We start from the raw sequence: 21,344 nt of genomic DNA, 5'->3' as shown, positions 1-21,344 counted from the left end.
CATTCAACTTACAGACTTGAACCCTCTTTTTGATAGAGAAGTTTTGAAACATTATTTTTGTAGAATCTGCAAGTGGTCATTTGGAGGACTTTGACGCCTGTGTTGGAAACGGGAATATCCTCACTTAAAAAATAGACAGAATCCATCTGAGAAACTTCTTTGTGATGTGTTCATTCAACTCACAGAGTTGAACCTTCTTTTTGATAGAGATGTTTTGAAACATTCTTTTTGTATAACCTGCAATTGGATATTTGGACTGCTTTGATGCTTTCGTCGGAAACGGGAATATCTTCAAATAAAAACTAGACAGTAGCATTCTCCGAAACGTCTCTTTTATGTGTGCATTCAACTCACAGATTTGAACCTTCCTTTTGATAGAACAGTTTTGAAACCCTCTTTTTGTAGAATCTGCAAGTGGACATTTGGAGGGTTTTGAGGCCTATGGTGGAAAAGGAAATATCTTCACATAGAAAGTAGACGGAACCATTCTCAGAAACCACTTTGTGATGTGTGCATTCAACTCACAGAGTTCAACCTTTCTTTTGATAGAGCAGTTTTGAAACACTCTTTTTCTACAATCTGCCAGTGGATATTTGGACCGCTTTGAGGCCTTTGTTGGAAAAGTGAATATCTTCAAATAACTAGACAGAAGGATTCTCAGAAACTTCTTTGTGATGTGTTCATTCAACTTACAGAGTTGAACCTTCCTTTTGATAGACCAGTTTTGAAACACTCTTTGTAGAACAGGCAAGTGGATATTTGGAGCGCATTGAGGCCTATGGTAGAAAAGCAAATATCTTCACATAAAAACTAGATGGAAGCATTCTCAGAAAGTACTTTGTGATGTGGGCATTCAACTCACAGAGGTGAACTTTTCCTTTAGTAGAGTAGTTTTGAAACACTCTTTTTGGAGAATCTGCAAGTGGATATTTGGACCGCTTTGAGGCCTTCATTGGAAACGGGGATATTCTCACATAAAAACTAGATAGAAGCATTTTCAGAAACTTATTTGTGTTGTGTGCATTCAACTCACAGATTTGAAGCTTCCTTTTGATACAGCAGTTTTGAAACACTCTTTTGTAGAATCTCTAAGTGGACAATTGGAGCGCTTTGAGGCCTATGGTAGAAAAGCAAGTATCTTCACATAAAAAGTAGACAGAAGCATTCTCAGAAAGTACTTTGTGATGTGTGCATTCAACTCACAGAGGTGACCTTTCTTTTGATATAGCAGTTTTGAGACACTCTTTTTGTAGAATCTGCAAGTGGATATTTGGAGCGCTTTTAGGCCTATAGTAGGAAAGAAATTTTCTTCATATAAAACTAGACAGAAGCATTCTCAGAAACTTCTTTGTTATGTGTGCATTCAGCTCACAGAGGTGAACCTTTCTTTTGAAAGAGAAGTTTTGAGACACTCTTTTTGGAGAATCTGCAAGGGGATATTTGGAACTCTTTGAGGCCTTCATTGGAAATGGGAATATCCTAACTTAAAAGCTAGACAGAAGCATTTTCAGAAACTTCTATGTGATGTGTGCATTCAACTCACAGAGTTGAGCCTTCCTTTTGATAGAGCAGCTTTGAAACAGTCTTTTGAAGAATCTGAAAGTGGACATTTGGAGCGCTTTGAGGAATATGGTAGGAAAGGAAATATCTTCACATAGAAACTAGACAAAAGTATTCTCAGAAACCACTTTTTGATGTGTGCTTTCAACCTACGAGTTGAACCTCCCTTTTGAAAGAGCTGTTTTGAAACACTCTTTTTGTAGAATCTGCAAGTGCATATTTGGAGCGCTTTGAAGCCTATGGTAGAAAAGCAAATATCTTCATATAAAACTAGACAGAAGTATTCTCAGAAACTACTTTGTGATGTGTGCATTCAGCTAACAGAGTTGAACCGTTCTTTTGACAGAGAAGTTTTGAAACAGTCTTTTTTTTAGAATCTGCAAGTGGATATTTGGAACGCTTTGAGGCCTTCATTGGAAACGTGTGTTTCTTCAAATAAAAACTAGACAGAAGGATTCTCAGAAACTCCTTTGTGATGTGTGCATTCAACTCACAGAGGTGAACTTTTCTTTTGTTAGAGCAGTTTTGAAACACTCTTTTTGTAGACTCTGCAAGGGGAAGTTTGGAGCGCTTTGAGGCCTTCATTGGAAAGGGGAATATTCTCACATTAAAACTGGACAAGAAGCATTTTCAGAAACATCTTTGTGATTTGTGCATTCAACTCAGAGAGTTGCACCGTCCTCTTGATGGAACAGTTTTGAAACACTCTTTTTGTAGAATCTGCAAGCTGACATTTGGAGGGATTTGAGGCCTGAGGTGGAAAAGGTAATATCTTCACATAGAGACTAGACAGAAGAATTCTCAGAAATCTCTTTATGATGTGTGCATTCAACTCACAGAGTTGAACCTTCCTTTTGATAGAGCAGTTTTGAAACACTCTTTTTGTAGAATCTGCAAGTCGATATTTTGACTGTTTGAAACCTTCGTTGGAAACGGGAATGAATTCAAATAACTAGACAGACGCATTCTCAGAAACTTCTTTGTGATTTGTGCATTCAATTCACAGAACTGAACCTTCCTTTTAATAGAGCAGTTTGAAACACTTTTTTTGATGGATCTGCAAGTGGGTATTTGGACTGCTTTGAGGCGTTCGTTGGAAAAGGGAATATCTTGGAATAAAAACTAGACAGAAGCATTCTCAGAAACTTCTTTGTGATCTGTTCATTCAACTCACAGAGTTGAACATATTTTTTGATAGAGGAATTTTGAAACATACTTATCGTAGAATCTGCAAGTGGATATTTGGACTGCTATGAGGCCTTCGTTGGAATCGGGATTATCTCCGAAAAAAAACAGACAGAAGCATTCTCAGAAACTTCTTTGTGATGTGTGCATTCAACTCACAGATTTGAAACTTCCTTTTGATAACACAAATTTGAAACACTCTTTTTGTAGAGTCTGCAAGTGGACATTTGGAGGGTTTTGAGAACTGTGGTGGAAAAGGAAATATCTTCACATAGAAACTAGACAGAACTATTCTCAGAAACCTCTTGCGATGTGTGCATTCAACTCACAGAGTTGAACCTTCCTTTTGATAGAACGGTTTTGAAACACTCTTTTTGTATAATTTGCAAGTGGATATTTCGAACGCTTTGAGGCCTTCGTTGGAAACGGGAATATTCTCAAATAAAAACTAGACAGAAGCATTCTCAGACACTTCTTTGTGATGTGTGCATTCAACTCACCAAGTTGAACCTTCCTTTTGATAGAACAGTTTTGAAACACTCATTTTATAGAATCTGCAAGTGGATATTTGGACAGTTTTGAGGCCTTCGTTGGAAACGGGACTATCTTCAACTAAAAACTAGACAGAGGAATTCTCAGAAATTTCTTTGTGATGTATGCATACACCTCACAGAGTTCAACCTTTCTTTTGATAGAGCAGTTTTGAAACACTCTTTTTGTAGTATTGACAAGTTGACATTTGGAGCGCTTTAAGGCCTGTGGGGAAAAGGAAATATCTTCAAATAGACACTACACAGAAGCATTCTCAGAAATTTCTTTGTGATGTGTGCATTCAACTCCCAGAGTTGAACCTTCTTTTTTATAGAGTAGTTTTGAAACACTCTTTTTGTAGAATCTGCAAGTGAAGATTTGGAGTGCTTCGAGGCCTATGGTAGAAAAGCGAATATCTTCACATAAAAACTAGACAGAAGCATTCTAAGAAAGTGTTTTGTGATGTGTGCATTCTACTCACAGAGGTGAACCTTTCTTTTGATACAGCAGTTTTGAAACACTCTTTTTGGAGAATCGGCAGGTGAATATTGGGTCAGCTTGTAGGCCTTCGTTGGAAACGGGAATATTCTCACATAAAAATTAGGCAGAAGCATTCTCAGAAAGTACTTTGTGATGTGTGCATTCAACTCACAGAGTTGAACATTACTTTTGATAGAGCAGGTTTGAAACACTCTTTTTGTAGAATCTGCAAGTGGACATTTGGAGCACTTGGAGGCCTAGGGTAGAAAAGGAAATATCTTCAAATAAAACCTAGACAGAAGCATTTTCAGAAACTTCTTGGTGATGTGTGCATTCAACTCACAGAGTTGAACAATATTTTTCATAGAGCAGTTTTGAAACAGTCTTTTTGTAGAATCTGCAAATGGACATTTGAAGCACTTTGAGACCTATGCTTGAAAAGGAAATATCTTCATATAAAAACTAGACAGAAGCATTCTCAGAAACTTCTTTTTTATGTGTGCATTCAACTCAAAGAGTTGAACCTTCCTTTTGGTAGAGGAGTTTTGAAGCACTCTTTTTGTAACAAACTATAGAAATGATCCCTGAAAGTACAGTCTTGAAGCACTCTTTTTGTAGAGTCTGCAAGTGGATATTTGGAGGGTTTTGAGGCCTGTGGTGGAAAAGGAAATATCTTCCCATAGAAAGTAGACAGAACTATTCTCAGAAACCTCTTCGTTATGTGTGCATTCAACTCACATAGTTGAACCTTCCTTTTGATAGAGCTGTTTTGAAACACTCTTTTTGTAGAATCTGCAGGTGGATATTTGGACCGCTTTGAAGCCTTCATTGGGAACGGGAATATCTTCAAATGACTAGACAGAGGCATTCTCAGAAACTTCTTTGTGTTGTGTGCATTCATTTAACAAATTTGACCCTTCCTTTTGAAAGAGCAGTTTAGAAACCATCTTTTTATAGAATCTGCAACTGGACATTTGGAGGGCTTTGAGTCCTGTGGTGGAAAAGGAAATATCGTTACATAGAAACCAGACGGAAGCATTCTCAGAAACTTCTTTGTGATGTGTGCCTTCAACTCACAGAGTAGAACCTTCCTTTTGATAGAGCAGTTTTGAAAAACTCTTTTCGTATAATCTGCAAGTGGATATTTGGAACTCTTTAATGCCTTCGTTGGAAACGGGAATATCTAAAAATAAAAACTAGACAGAAGCATTCTCAGAAACTCCTTTGTGATGTGTGTCTTCAACTCTCAGAGTTGAACCTTCCTTTTGATAGAGCAGTTTTGAAACACTCTTTTCATAGAATCTGCAAGTGGATATTTGGACCGCTTTGTGGCCTTCGTTGGAAGGGGAATATTCTCACATAAAAGCTATACAGAAGAACTTTCAGAAAATTCTTTGTGATGTGTGCATTCATCTCACAGAGTTGACCATTCCTTTTGATAGAGCAGTTTTGAAACACTCTTTTTAGAGAATCTCCAAGTGGACATTTGGAGCGCTTTGAGGTCTATGGTAGAAAAGGAAATATCTTCAAATAAAAATTAGACAGAAGCTTTTTCAGAAACTCCTTTGTGATGTGTGCATTCAACTCAGAGATTAGAACATTCTTTTTGATAGAGGACTTCTGAAACCCTCTTTTTGTAGAATCTGCAAGTGGATATTTGGATCGCTTTGAGGCGTATGATGGAAACGCAAATATCTTCATATAAAAACTAGACAGAACCATTCTCAGAAACTTCTTTACGATGTGTGCATTCAACTTACAGAGTCGAACCTTTCTTTTGATAGAGCAGTTTTGAAACACTTATTTTGAAGGATCTGTAGTTGGACATTTGGAGCGCTTTGAGGCCTGTGGTGGAAAAGGAAATATCTTCACATAGAAACTAGACAGAAGCATTCTCAGAAACTTCTCTGTCACATGTACATTCAGCTCACAGAGTTGAACCTTCCTTTTGATAGAGCAGTTTTGAAACCCTCTTTTTGTGGAATCTGCAAGTGGATATTTGGACCACTTTGAGGCCTACAGTTGAAATGTTAATATCTTCATATAAAAACTAAACAGAAGCATTCTCAGAAACTTCTTGGTGAAGTGTGCATTCAACTCACAGAGTCGAACCTTACTTTTGATAGAGCAGTTTTCAAACACTCTTTTTGTATAATCTGCAAGTGGCTATTTGAAACACTTTGAGGTCTTCATTGGAAATGGAAATATCGTCAAATAAAAACTGGACAGAAGCATTCTCAGAAACTTGTTTGTGATCTGTGCATTCAACTCACAGTGTTGAACTTTCCTTTTGATTGAACAGTTTTGAAAAAATATTTTTATAGAATCTGCAAGTGAATATTTGGACAGATTTGAAGCCTATCGTTGAAAAGCAAATATCTTCACCTAATCACTAGACAGAAGCATTCTCAGAAAGTTTTTTGTAATGTGTGTATTCAACTCACAGAGGTGAACCTTTCTTTTAACGGAGCAGTTTTGAAACACTCTTTTGGTAGTATCTGCAAGTGGATATTTTGAGCACTTTGAGGCCTAAGGTAGAAAAGTAAATATCTTCACATAAAAACTAGACAGAAGTATTCTCAGAAATTTCTTTGGGATGTGTGCATTCAACTCACAGAGTTGAAAATTCCTTTTGATAGAGCACTTTTGAAACCCTCTTTTTGTAGAATCTGCAAGTGGATATTTGGAGCGTTTTGAGGCATTCGTTGGAAAAGGGAATGTCTTCAAATAATTAGACTGAAGCATTCTCAGAGACTTCTTTGTGATGTGTGCATTCAACTCACAGAGTTGAACCATCCTTTTGATATGGCATTTTTGAAACACTCTTTTTGAAGACTCTGCAAGTGGATATTTGGACCGCTTTGAGGCCTTATTTGGAAATGGGAATATCTTCAAATAAAAACTATTTAAAAGAATTCTCAGAAACTTCTTTGTGATCTGTGCATTCAACTCACAGAGTTGAACGTTCCTGTTGATACAGCAGTTTTGAAACACTCTTTTTGTAGAATCTGCATGTGGACATTTGTAGGGTTTTGAGGTCTGAGGTGGAAACGGGAATATCCTCACATAAAAACTAGTCAGAAGCATTTTGAGAAACATTGTTGTGATGTGTGCATTCAACTCACAGAGTTGAACCTTCCTTTTGATAGAGAATTTTGAAACAGTCTTTTGTAGAATCTGCAATTGAATATTTGGATCACTTTGAGGCCTATGATAGAATAGCAAACATCTTCATGTAAAACTAGACAGAAGCATTCTCAGAAATGTCTTCTTGATGTCTGCATTCAACTCACAGAGGTAAACTTTTCTTTTGATAGAGCAGTTTTGAAACACTCTTTTTGTCGAATCTGCAAGGGGATATTTGGACTGCTTTGAGGACTTCGTTGGAAACGGGAATATCCTCACTTAAAAACTAGACAGAAGCATTTTCAGAAACTACTTTGTGGTGTGTGCATTAAACTCACAGAGTTGAACCTTCATTTTGGTAGAGCAGTTCTGAAACCCTCTTTTTGTAGAATCTGCATGTGGACATTTTGAGGGCATTTAGGCCTGCGGTGGAAACGGGAATATCCTCACGTAAAAACTAGACAGAAGGATTTTCAGAAAGTACTTTGTGATGTGTGCATTCAACTCACAGAGATGAATCTTTTTTTGATAGAGCCATTTTGAAACACTCTTTTTTAAGTATCTGCAAGTTGATATTTACAGCGCTTTGAGTCCTGTGGTAGTAAAGGAAATATCCTCACATAGAAACTAGAAAGAAGTTTTCACAGAATCCTCTTTGTGATGTGTGCATTCAACTCACAGAGTTGAACCTTCCTTTTGATAGAGCAGTTTTGAAACACTCTTTTTGTAGAATCTGCAAGTGGATATTTGGAGCGCTTTGAGGCCTATCGTAGAAAACAAATTATCTTCATATAAAACTTGACAGAAGCATTCACAGAAACTTCTTTGTGATGTGTGCATTCAACTCACAGAGTTGAGCCTTCCTTTTGGAAGAGCAGTTTTGAAAAACTCTTTTTGAAGAATCTGTAAGTGGACATTTGGAGTGCTTTGTGGCCTTCATTGGAAATGGGAATACCATCAAATAAAAAGCAGACAGAAGCATTCTCATAAACTTCTTTGTGATGTGTGCATTCAACTCACAGAGTTGAATTTTCTTTTTGACAGAGCAGTGTTGAAACACTCTTTTTGTAGAATCTGCAAGTGGGTATTTGGACAGCTTTGAGGACTTCGTTGGAAACGGGAATATTTTCACCTAAAAACTAGACAGAAGCATTCTCAGAAATTTATTAGTGATGTGTGCATTCCATTCAGAGATTTGAACATTCTTTTTGATAGAGGACATTTGAAACCCTCTTTTTGTAGAATCTGCAAGTGGATATTTGGATCGTTTTGAGGCCTATGGTGGAAACACAAATATCTTCATATAAAAAACTAGACAGAACCATTCTCAGAAACCTCTTTATGATGTGTGCACTCAACTCACAGAGTTGAACCTTTCTTTTGATAGAGCAGTTTTGAAACACTTATTTTGAAGAATTTGCAGTTGGACTTTTGGAGCGCTTTGAGGCCTGTGGTGGAAAAGGAAATATCTTCACATAGAAAATAGACAGAAGCATTCTCAGAAACTTCTCTGTCATGTGTGCATTCAACTCACAGAGTTGAACCTTCCTTTTGATAGAGCAGTTTTGAAGCACACTTTTTGTGGAAGCTGTCAGTGGATATTTGGCAACTTTGAGGCCTTCTCTGGATATGGGAATATCTTCAAACAAAAACTATACTGAAGCATTCTCAGAAACTACTTTGAGATGTGTGCATTCAACTCACAGAGGTGAACATTTCTTTTGATAGGGCAGTTTTGAAAAACTCTTTTGGTCGAATCTGCAAGTGGATATTTGGACCGCTTTGAGGCCTTTGTTGGAAATGGGAATATCTTCAAATAAACACTAGATAGAAGAATTCTCAGAAACTAGTTTTTGATGTGCGCATTGAACTCTCAGTGTTGAACCTTCCTTTTGATAGAGCAGTTTTGAAACAATCTTTTTGTAGAATCTGCAAGTGGACATTTGAGTACTTTGAGGCCTATGATAGAAAAGGTAATATCCTTATAAATAATAGACAGAAGAATTCTCAGAAACTACCTTGTGATGTGTGCATTTAACTCACAGAGGTGAAGCTGTCTTTGGATAGACCAGTTCTGAAACACACTTTTTGTAAATATCTGCAAGTGGATATTTGGACCGCTTTGAGGCCTTTGTTGGAAACGGGAATATCCTTACATAAGAACTAGAAAGAATTCTGTGAAGAAAGTAATTGGTAGCTTGATGGGGATGGCATTGAATCTGTAAATTACCTTGGGCAGTATGGCCATTTTCACGATATTGATTCTTCCTACCCATGAGCATGGAATGTTCTTCCATTTGTTTGTATCCTCTTTTATTTCATTGAGCAGTGGTTTGTAGTTCTCCTTGAAGAGGCCCTTCACATCCCTTCTGAATTGGATTCCTAGATATTTTATTCTCTTCGAAGCAATTGTGAATGGGAGTTCACTCATGATTTCGCTCTCTGTTTGTCTGTTGTTGGTGTATAAGAATGCTTGTGATTTTTGTACACTGATTTTGTATCCTGAGACTTTGCTGAAGTTGCCTATCAGCTTAAGGAGATTTTGGGCTGAGACAATGGGGTTTTCTAGATTTACAATCATGTAGTCTGCAAACAGGGACAATTTAACTTCTTCTTTTCCTAATTGAATACCCTTTATTTCTTTCTCCTGCCTAATTGCCCTGGCCAGAACTTCCAACACTATGTTGAATAGGAGTGGTGAGAAAGGGCATCCCTGTCTTGTGTCAGTTTTCAAAGGGAATGCTTCCAGTTTTTGCCCATTCAGTACGATATTGGCTGTGGGTTTGTCATAGATAGCTTTTATTATTTTCAGACACGTCCCATCAATACCTAATTTATTGAAAGTTTTTAGCATGAAGGGTTGTTGAATTTTGTCAAAGGCCTTTTCTGCATCTACTGAGATAATCATGTGGTTTTTGTCTTTGGTTCTGTTTATATGCTGGATTACATTTACTGATTTGCATATATTGAACCAGCCTTGCATCCCAGGGTTGAAGCCCACTTGATCATGGTGGATAAGCTTTTTGATGTGCTGCTGGATTCGGTTTGCCAGTATTTTATTGAGGACTTTTGCATCAATGTTCATCAAGGATATTGGTCTAAAATTCTCTTTTTTGGTTGTGTCTCTGTCTGGCTTTGGTATCAGAATGATGCTAGCCTCATAAAATGAGTTAGGGAGGATTCCCTCTTTTTCTATTGATTGGAATAGTTTCAGAAGGAATGGTACCAGTTCCTCCTTGTACCTCTGGTAGAATTCGGCTGTGAATCCATCTGGTCCTGGACTCTTTTTGGTTGGTAAACTATTGATTATTGCCACAATTTCAGATCCTGTTATTGTTCTATTCAGAGATTCAACTTCTTCCTGGTTTAGTCTTGGGAGAGTGTATGTGTCGAGGAATGTATCCATTTCTTCTAGATTTTCTAGTTTATTTGTGTAGAGGTGTTTGTAGTATTCTCTGATGGTAGTTTGTATTTCTGTGGGATCGGTGGTGATATCCCCTTTATCATTTTTTATTGCATCTATTTGATTCTTCTCTCTTTTTTTCTTTATTAGTCTTGCTAGTGGTCTATCAATTTTGTTGATCCTTTCAAAAAACCAGCTCCTGGATTCATTGATTTTTTGAAGAGCTTTGTGTCTCTATTTCCTTCAGTTCTGCTCTGATTTTAGTTATTTCTTGCCTTCTGTTAGCTTTTGAATGTGTTTGCTCTTGCTTTTCTAGTTCTTTTAATTGTGATGTTAGGGTGTCAATTTTGGATCTTTCCTGCTTTCTCTTGTAGGCATATAGTGCTATAAGTTTCTCTCTACACACTGCTTTGAATGTGTCCCAGAGATTCTGGTATGTTGTGTCTTTGTTCTCGTTGGTTTCAAAGAACATCTTTATTTCTGCCTTCATTTCGTTATGTACCCAGTAGTCATTCAGGAGCAGGTTGTTCAGTTTCCATGTAGTTGAGCGGCTTTGAGTGAGATTCTTAATCCTGTAAAGTTCATATGGAACCAAAAAAGAGCCCGCATAGCCAAGTCAATCCTAAGCCAAAAGAACAAAGCTGGAGGCATCACACTACCTGACTTCAAACTATACTACAAGGCTACAGTAACCAAAACAGCATGGTACTGGTACCAAAACAGAGATATAGATCAATGGAACAGAACAGAGCCCTCAGAAATAACGCCACATATCTACAACTATCTGATCTTTGACAAACCTGAGAAAAACAAGAAATGGGGAAAGGATTCCCTATTTAATAAATGGTGCTGGGAAAACTGGCTAGCCATATGTAGAAAGCTGAAACTGGATCCCTTCCTTACACCTTATACAAAAATCAATTCAAGATGGATTAAAGATTTAAACATTAGACCTAAAACCATAAAAACCCTAGAAGAAAACCTAGGCATTACCATTCAGGACATAGGCGTGGGCAAGGACTTCATGTCCAAAACACCAAAAGCAATGGCAACAAAAGACAAAATTGACAAATGGGATCTAATTAAACTAAAGAGCTTCTGCACAGCAAAAGAAACTACCATCAGAGTGAACAGGCAACCTACAACATGGGAGAAAATTTTCACAACCTACTCATCTGACAAAGGGCTAATATCTAGAATCTACAATGAACTCAAACAAATTTACAAGAACATCACTTTTCATAGAGAAGTTTTGGAACAGCCTTTTTGTAGAATGTGCCTGTGTATATTTATAAGTCTTTGAGGCCTGTGGTGGAAAAGGAAATATCTTCACATAAAAACTAGACAGAGGGATTCTCAGGAACTTCTTTGTGATCTGTGCATTCAACTAACAGGCTCGAACCTTTCTTTGATAGAGCAGTTTTGAGACACTCGTTGTGAAGAATCTGCAAGTGGACATTTGGAGGGCTTTAAGGCCTGTGGTGGAAATGGAAATATCTTCACACAGAAACTAGAGAGAAACTTTCTCAGAAACTTGTGTGTGATGTGTGCATTCAACTCACAGAGTTGAACTTTCCTTTTGATAGAGCAGTTTTGAAACACTCTTTTTGTAGAATCTGCAAGTGGATATTTGTAGTGATTTGACGCCTATGGTAGAAAAGCAAATATCTTTATATAAAAACTAGACAGAAGCATTCTCAGAAACTTCTTTGTGATGTGTGCATTCAACTGACAGAGTTGAACTTTCCTTTTCATAGAGCAGTTTTGAAACAGTATTTTTGTAGAAACTGCAAGTGTACATTTGGAGGGCTTTGAGGCCTGTGCTGGAAAAGGAAATATCTTCACTTAAACACTGGACAGAAACATTCTCAGAAACTTCTTTGAGATGTGTGCATTCAACTCACAAAGTTGAACCTATCTTTTGATAGAGCAGTTTTGATACCCTCTTTTTGTAGAATCTGCAAGTAGACATTTGGACAGCTTTGAGGCGTTCTGTGGAAACAGGAATATCTTCACCTGTAAACTAGACAGCGGCATTCTCAGAAACTTCTTTGTGATGTGTGCATTCAACTCACAGAGTTGAAACTTTCTTTCGATAGAGCAGTTTTGAAATACTCTTTTTGTAGAGTTTGCAAGAGGAAATGTGGAGCGCTTTGAGGCCTATGGTAGAAAAGGTGATATCTTCATATAAAAACTAGACAGAACCATTCTCACAAACCACTTTGTGATGTGTGCATTCAACTCACAGAGTTGAAACTTCCTTTTGATGGAGCAGTTTTGAAACACTCTTTTTGTAGAATCTGCAAGTGTATATTTGGACGGCTTTGAGGCCTTTGGTGGAAACGGCAATATCTTCACATTAAAAACTAGATAGAAGCACTCTGAGAAACTTCTTTGTGATGTGTGCATTCAACTCACAGAGTTGAACCTTCCCTTTCATAGAGCAGTTTTGAAACACTCTTTTTGTAGAATCTGCAAGTAGATATCTGGAGCGCTTTTAGTCCTGTGGTGGAAAAGGGTGTATCTTCACATAACTAGTAGAAAGAATCATTCTCAGAAACTTCTTTGTGATGTATGCATTCAACTAACAGGGTTAAACTTTTCTTTTTATAGAGCAGTTTTGAAAAACGCTTTTTGTAGGATCTGCAAGTGGATATTTGGAGCTCTTTGATGCCTATGGTGGAAACGGGAATGTCTTCACACAAAAAGTAGACAGAAGCATTCTCTGAAACTTCTTTGATGTGTGCATTCAACTCAGAGAGTTGAACCTTCCTTTTGATAGAGCAGTTTTGAAACACTCTTTTTGTAGAATCTGCAAGTGGATATTTCTAGCGCTTTGAGGCCTATGGTACGAAAGGAAATATCTTCACATAAAAACTATACAGAAGCATTCTCAGAAACTACTTTGTGATGTGTGCACTCATCTCACAGTATTCAACCTTTCTTTTGATTGAGCAGTTTTGAAACAGTCGTTTTGTAGAATCTGCAAGTGGACATTTGGAGCTCGTTGATTCCTATGGTGGAAAATGAAGTATCTTCCCATAAAGAGTGGACAGAAGCATTCTCAGAAACTTCTTTGTGATGTTTGCATTCAACTCGAAGAGTTGAACATTCCTTTTCATAGAGGAGTTTTCAAACAGTGTTTTTGTAGAATCTGCAGGTGGATATTTGGACAGATTTCAGGCCTTTGGTGGAAACGGGAATATCTTCACATAAAAATTAGACAGAAACATTCGCAGAAACTTCTTTGTGATGTGTGCTTTCAACTCAGAGAGTTGAAACTTCCTTTAGATAGAGAAGTTCTGAAACACTGTTTTTGTAGGAACGCAAGTGGATATTTGTAGTGCTTTGGGGCCTTCGGTGGAAAAAGGGAATATCGTCACAAGAAAACTAGACAGAAGCATTCTCAAAATCTTCTTTGTGACTTGTGCATTCAAATTAGAGAGCTGAACCTTCCTTTTGATAGAGTAGTTTTGGAACAGTCTTTCTGTGGAATCTGCAAGTGGATATCTGGAGATCTTTGTGGCCTGCGGTGGAAACAGGAATATCTTCACACAAAAACTAGAGAGAAGCATTCTCAGAAAGTTCTTTGTGATGTGCACATTCAACTCACAGAGTTGAACCTTCCTTTGATAGAGTAGTTTTGAAACACACTTTCTGTAGAATCTGCAAGGGGACATTTGGAGAGCTTTGAGGTCTGCGTTGGAAACGGGAATATCTTCACATAAGAAGTAGACAGAAGCATCCTTAGAAAGTCGTTTGTGATGTGTGCATTCAATTCACAGAGTTGAACATTACTTTTGGTAGATCAGTTTTTGAAACACTCTTTTTGTAGAATCTGCAAGTGGATAATTGGAGCTCATTGAGGCCTATGGGAGAAAAGGAAATATCATCATATAAAAACTAGAGAGAGGAATTCTTAGAAACTACTTTGTGATGTTTGCATTCAACTCACAGAGTTGAACCTTGCTTTTCATAGAGCAGTTTTGAAACACTCTTTTTGTAGAATCTGTAAGTGGATATTTGGAGCGTTTTGAGGTCTATGGTAGAAAAGGAAATATCTTCATAGAAAAGCTAGACAGAAGTAATCTAGGAAACTACTTTGAGCTGTGTGCATTCAACTCACAGAATGCAACCTTTCTTTTGATAGAGCAGTTTTTAAACATTGTTTTTGTAGAATCTGTAAGTGGACATTTTGAGCACTTTGATGTCAGTGGTGAAAAAGGAAATATCTTTACATAAAAACTAGACAGAAGCATCCTAAGGAACTACTTTGTGATGTTTGTATTCAACTCACAGAGTTGAACTTTCCTTTTCATAGAGCAGTTTTGAAACACTCTTTTTGTAGAATCTGCAAGTGGATATTTCAACCGTTTTGAGGCTTATGGTGTAAACGAGAATATCTTCACATAAAAACTAGACAGAAGCATTCTCAGAAACTTCTTTGTGATGTGTGCATTCAACTCACAGAGTTGAACCTTCCTTTAGATAGAGAAGTTTTGAAACAGTCTATTTGTACGATTTGCAAGTGAATATTTGGAGCGCTTTGAGGCCTATGGTGGAAAAGAAGTGTCTTCATATAAAAAGTAGACAGAAGAATTCTCAGAAACTTCTTTATGATGTGTGCATTCAACTTACAGAGTTGAAACTTTGTTTTGACAGAGCAGTTTTGAAACACTCTTTTTGTAGAATCTGCAAATGGATACTTTGAGTTACTTGAAGCCTTCTGTGGAAACCGGAATATCTTCACATAAAAACTAGACAGAAGCACTCTCAGAAACTTCTTTGTGATATGTGCATTCAGCTCAGAGAGTTGAACCTTCCTTTTGATATAACAATTTTAAAACTCTGTTTTTGTAGAATCTGCAAGTGGATATTTGGAGCTCTTTGGGACCTACTGTAGAAATGGAAATATCTTCATATAAAAACTAGACAGAAGCATTCTCAGAAACTACTTTGTGATGTTTGTGTTCAACTCACAGAGTTGAACCTTTCTTTTGATAGAGCAACTTTGAAACACTCTATTTGTTGAATCTGCAAGTGGACATTTGGAGCGCTTTGATGCCTATGGTAAAAAAGTAAATATCTTCACATTGAAACTACGCAGAGGTATTACCAAAAACTTCTTTGAGATGTTTGTCTTCAACTCATAGATTTGAACATTTCTTTTCATATAGCAGTTTTGAAACACTCTTTTTGTAGGACCTGCAAGTGGATATTTGAACGCCTTTGAGGCCTTCTGTGGAAACGGGAATACCTTCACATAAAAACTAGACAGAAAAATTCTCAGAAAGTTTTTGATGTGTGTATTCAACTCACAGAGTTGAACTTTCATTTTGACAGAGCAATTTTGAAAGACTCTGTGTAGAAACTGCAAGTGGATAATTTGACCGCATTAAGGTCTATCATAAAAAAGCAAATATCGTCATATAAAATCTAGACAGAGCCATTCTCAGAAACTCCTTTGTGATGTTTGCATTCCACTCACAGAGTTGAACATTCCTTTTGATAGAGCAGTTTTGAAACACTCTTTTCCTAGAATCCGCAAGTGTATATTTGGAGCACTTTGAGGATTATGGTGTTAAAGGAAATATCTTCACATAAAAACTAGACAGAAGCATTCTCAGAACCTTCTTTGTGTTGGGTGCATTCAACTCACTGAGGTGAACATTTCTTTTGATAGAGCAGTTTTGAAACCCTCTTTTTGTAGAACCTGCAAGTGGATATTTGGAGCGATTTGAGGCCTATGGTGGAAAAGGAAATATCATCATATAAAATCTAGCAGAAAAATTCTCAGAAACTACTTAGTGAAGTGTGCATTCAAGTCACAGAGTTGATCCTTTCTTTTAATAGAGCAGTTTTGAAACACTCTTTTGTAGAATAAGCAAGTGGATATTTGCAGTGCTTTGAAGCCTACGGTGGAAAAGGAAATGTCCTCACGTAAAAACTACACAAAAGCATTCTTAGAAACTTCTTTGTGTTGTGTGCATTCAACTCACAGAGTTGAACCTTTCCTTTAATTGAGGAGTTTAGAAACACTCTCTTTGTAGAATCTTCAAGTCGATATTTGGAGAACTTTGAGGCCTATGGTGGAAAAGGAAATATCTTCACATAAAAACTAGACAGAAATATTCTCAGAAACTTCTTTGTGTTCTGTGCATTCATCTCACAAAGTTGAAACTTTCTTTTGATAGAGTAGTTTTGAAATACTCTTTTTGTGGAATCTACAAGTGGATATTTGAAGCCCTTTGCATCGTACAGCAGAAAAAGAAATGTCCTCACATCAAAACTAGACAGGAGCATTCTCAGAAACCTCTTTGTGTTGTGTGCTTTCAACTCACAGAGTTGAAACTTTCCCTTGATTGAGCAGTTTTCAAACACTCTTTCTGTAGAATCTGCAAGTGGATATTTGGAGCGCTTTGAGGCCTATGGTGGAAAAGGAAATAACTTCACATAAAAACTAGACAGAATCATTCTCAGAAACATCTTTGTGATGTTTGCATTCAACTCACAGATTTGAAGACACATTTTCATAGGGCAGTTTTGAAACACTCTATTCGTAGGATCTTCAAGTGGGTATTTTGACAACTTTGAGGCCTTCGTTGGAAAGGGGAATATCTTCACATAAAAGCTAGACAGAAGAATTCTCACAAACTTATTTGTGATGTGTGCACTCAACTCACAGAGTTGAACTTATCTTTTGGCAGAGCAGTTTTGAAATACTCTTTGTGGGGAATCTGCAAGTGGACATTTGGAAAGCTTTGAGGCCTTTGGTGGAAAAGGAAATATCTTCACATAAAAATTAGTGAGAAGCATTCTCAGAAACTTCTTTGTGATGTAGGCATTCAACTCACAGAGTTGAACATACTTTTTCATAGAGCATTTAGAAACACTCTTTTGGTAGGATTTGCAAGTGGATATTTGGATTGCTTTGAGGCCTTCGTTGGAAAAGGGAATATCTTCACATAAAAACTAGACAGAAGCATTCTCTCAAACTACTTTTTGTTGTGTGCATTCAACTCACAGAGTTCAACCTTTCTTTTGATATAGCAGTTTTGAAACACTCTTTTTGTAGAATCTGCAGGCAGACATTTGGAGAGCTTTGAGGCCTATGGTGGAAAAGGAAATATCTTCGCATAAAAACTAGACAGAAGCATTCAGAGAAACTCCATTGTGATGTTTGTTTGCATTCAACTCACAGCGTTGAGGATACCTTTTCACAGAGCAGTTTTGAAACACTCTTTTCATAGAATCTGCAAGTGAATATTTGGACGGCTTTGAGGAATTCGTTGTAAATGGGAGTATCTTCACATAAAAACTAGACAGAAGCATTCTCAGAAACATCTTGAAGACGTGTGCAATCAATTCACAGAGTTGAATCTTTCTTTTGATAGAGCAGTTTTGAAACACTCTTTTTGTAGTATCTGCAACTGGACATTTGGAGAGCTTTGAAGCTTATGGTGGAAAAGGAAATATCTTCAGATAAAAACTAGACAGAAGCATTCTCAGAAACTTCTTTGTAATGTTTTCATTCAACTCACACAGTTGAACATAACTTTTCATAGAGCAGTTTTGAAACACTCTTTTCGTAGAGTATTTGGACTGCTTTGAGGCCACCGTTGCAAAAGGGAATACCTTCACATAAAAACTAGACAGAAGCATTCTCAGAAACTTCTTTTGATATGTCCATTCAATCCACAGGGTTGAACCTTGCTTTTTATAGAGCAGTTTTGAAACACTGGTTTTGTAGATTGTGCAGGTGGACATTTGGAGGGCTTTGAGGCCTAAGGTGGAAAAGGAAATATCTTCACATAAAAACTAGACAGAAGCATTCTCAGAAACTGCTTTGTGATGTTTGCATTCAATTCACAGAGTTGAATGTACCTTTTCATATAGCAGTTTTGAAACATTGTTTTGGTAGAATCTGCAAGTGGATATTTGGACTGATGTGAGGCCTTCGTTAGAAACGGGTATATCATCTTCACATAAAAACTAGACAGAAACATTCTCAGAAACATCTTCGTGGTGTGTGCATTCAACTCACAGATTTGAACTATTCTTTTGATAGAGCAGTTTTGAAACACTCTTTTTGTAGAATCTGCAAGTGGACAGTTGGAGAGCTTTGAGGCTTAAATGGGAAAGGAAATATCTTCACATAAAAACCAGACAGAAGCACTTTCAGAAATTTCTTTGTGATGTTTGCATTCAACTCACAGAGTATAACCTGTCTTTTTATAGATCAGTTTTAACACACTCTTTTTGTAGAATCTGCAAGTGGACATTTGGAGAGCTTTGAGGCCTATGGTGGAAAAGGAAATATCTTCACATAAAAACTAGACAGAAGCATTCTCAGAAATTCTTTGTGATGTTTCTCTATGAAAAGGTATCTTTTCATAGAACAGTTTTGGAACACTCTTTTCGTAGAATCTGCAAGTGGATATTTGGACTGTTTTGAGGCTTCGATGGAAACGGGAATATCTTCACATAAAAACTAGACAGAAGCATTCTCAGAAACTTGTTTCTGATATTTGAATTCAACTCACAGATTTGAAGATACCTTTGCATAGAGCAGTTTTGAAACGCTCTTTTCATACAATCTACAAGTGGATATTTGGACTGCTTTGTGGCCTTCGTTGGAAACGGGAATATCTTCACATAAAAACCAGAGAGAAACTTTCTCAGAAACTGCTTTGTGATATGTGCATTCAATTTGCAGATTTGAACCTTTCTTTTGATAGAGCAGTTTCGAAACACTCTTTTTGTAGAATCTGCAAGTGGACATTTGGAGAGCTTTGAGGCCTATGGTGGAAAAGGAAATATCTACACATAAAAACCACACAGAAGCATTATCAGAAACTTGTTTCTGATGTTTGCATTCAACTCACAGACTTGAAGATACCTTTTCAGAGAACAGATTTGAAACACTCTTTTCGTACAATCTGCAAGTGGATATTTGGACAGATTTGAGGCCTTGGTTGGAAACGGCAAAATCTTCACATAAGAACTAGACAGAAGCATTCTCGGAAACTTCTTTGTGATGTTTCTCTATGAAAAATATCTTTTCAAAGAGCAGTTCCGAAACACTCTTTACGTATTATCTGCAAGTGTATATTTGGACTGCTTTGAGGCCTTTGATGGAAACAGGAATATCGTCACATAAAAACTAGACAGAAGCATTCCCAGAAACATCTATGTGATGTTTGAATTCAACTCACAGATTTGAAGATAACTTTTCATAGAGCAGTTTTGAAACACTCTTTTCATACCATCTGCAAGTGAATATTTGATCTGTTTTGTGGCCTTCTTTGGAAACGGGAATATCTTCATATAAAAACCAGATAGAAACATTCTCAGAAACTTTTTTGTGATATGTGCATTCAACTCAGAGATTTGAACCTTTCTTTTGATAGAGCAGTTCTGAAACAGTCTTTTTGTAGAATCCGCAAGTGGACATTTGGAGAGTTTTGAGGCCTATGGTGGAAAAGGAAATATCTACACATAAAAACCACACAGAAGCATTCTCAGAAACTTCTTTCTGATGTTTGCATTCAACTCACAGAGCTGAAGATATGTTTTCATAGAGCAGTTTTCAAACACTCTTTTGCATATCTGCAAGTGGATATTTGGACTGCTTTGAAGCCTTCGTTGTAAACAGGAATATTTTCACATAAAAACTAGACAGAAGCATTCTCATAAACGTCTTTGTGATGTGTGCATTCAACTCACAGAGTTGAACCTTTCTTTTGATAGAGCAGTTTGGAAACACTCTTTTTGTAGAATCTGCAAGTGGACATTTGTAGAGCATTGAGGCCTATGGTGGAAAATGAAATATCTTCACATAAAAACTAAACAGAAGCATTCTCAGAAACTTCTTTGTGATGTTTGCATTCAACTCACAGAGTTGAAGATACCTTTTCATAGAGCAGTCTTGAAAGACTCTTTTCGTAGGATATGCAAGTGGATATATGGACTGCTTTGAGGCCTTCGTTGGAAACGGGAATATCTTCACATAAAAACTATTCAGAAGCATTCTCAGAAACTTCTTTGTGATGGGTGCATTCAACTCACAGGGTTGATCCTTTCTTTTATAAAGCAGTTTTGAAACACTCTTTTGTAGAATCTGCAAGTGAACATTTTGAGAGCTTTGAGGCCTGTGCTGGAAAAGGAAATATCTACACATAAAAACTAGACAGAAGCATTCTCAGAAACTTCTTTGTGATGTTTGCATTCAACTCACAGATTTGAAGATACCCTTTCATAGAGTAGTTTTGAAACACTCTTTTCGTACAATCTTCAAGTGGATATTTGAACAGATTTGAGGCCTTCGTTGGAAACGGGAATATCTTCACATAAGAACTAGACAGAAGCATTCTCACAAACTTCTTTGTGATGTCTGCATTCAATTCCCTGGTTTGTAGCTTTCTTTTGCAAGTGGAGAGTCTGAAAGTGGACATTTGGAGAGCTTTGAGGCCTATGGTGGAAAAGGACATATCTTCACATAAAAACTAGAGAGAAGATTTCTCAGAAACTTCTTTGTGATGTTTGCATTCGACTCACAGTGTTGAATGTATGTCTTCATAGTGCAGTTTTTAAACACTATTTTCGTAGTATCTGCAAATGGATATTTGGACTGCTTTGAGGCCTTCTTTGGGAATAGGAATATCTCCACATAAAAACTATACAAAAACATTCTCAGAAACTTCTTTGTGATGTGTGCATTCAACTCACAGATTTGAAACTTTCTTTTGATAGAGCAGTTTTGACACATTCTTTTTGTAGAATCTGCAAGTGGACATTTGAAGAGCTTTGAGTTCTATGGTGGAAATGGAAATACCCACACATAAAAACTAGACAGAAGCATTCTCAGAAACTTCTTTGTGATGATGGATTCAACTCACAGAGTTGAATCTTTCTTTTGATAGAGCAATTTTGACACACTGTTTTTGTAGAATCTGCCATTGGACATTTGGAGAACTTTGAGGCCTATGGTGGAAAAGGAAATATCTACACATAAAAACTAGACAGAAGCATTCTCAGAAACTTCTTTGTGATGTTTCTC

At 37.1% G+C, this 21,344-nt stretch overlaps 1 pseudogene, besides 2 other annotated features; it reads right to left on the bottom strand.

The window, feature by feature from the left end:
- Positions 1-4,234: 4,234 nt before the first annotated feature.
- On the bottom strand, positions 4,235-4,356 carry LOC124909499 (uncharacterized; annotated as a pseudogene).
- Positions 14,951-15,542: an enhancer, noted in NCBI's record as "OCT4-NANOG hESC enhancer chr3:90464199-90464790 (GRCh37/hg19 assembly coordinates)". NCBI's record gives its function as "activates a minimal SCP1, AML or CMV promoter by ChIP-STARR-seq in naive H9 embryonic stem cells {active_cell/tissue: H9 hESC(naive)}" and the evidence as "EXISTENCE:reporter gene assay evidence [ECO:0000049][PMID:30033119]".
- Positions 16,800-17,357: an enhancer, noted in NCBI's record as "OCT4-NANOG hESC enhancer chr3:90462384-90462941 (GRCh37/hg19 assembly coordinates)". NCBI's record gives its function as "activates a minimal SCP1, AML or CMV promoter by ChIP-STARR-seq in naive H9 embryonic stem cells {active_cell/tissue: H9 hESC(naive)}" and the evidence as "EXISTENCE:reporter gene assay evidence [ECO:0000049][PMID:30033119]".

This window comes from Homo sapiens, chromosome 3, assembly GCF_000001405.40.
Source record: "Homo sapiens chromosome 3, GRCh38.p14 Primary Assembly".
NCBI lineage: Eukaryota > Metazoa > Chordata > Mammalia > Primates > Hominidae > Homo > Homo sapiens.
This window is presented reverse-complemented; position numbering and strand designations above follow the sequence as displayed.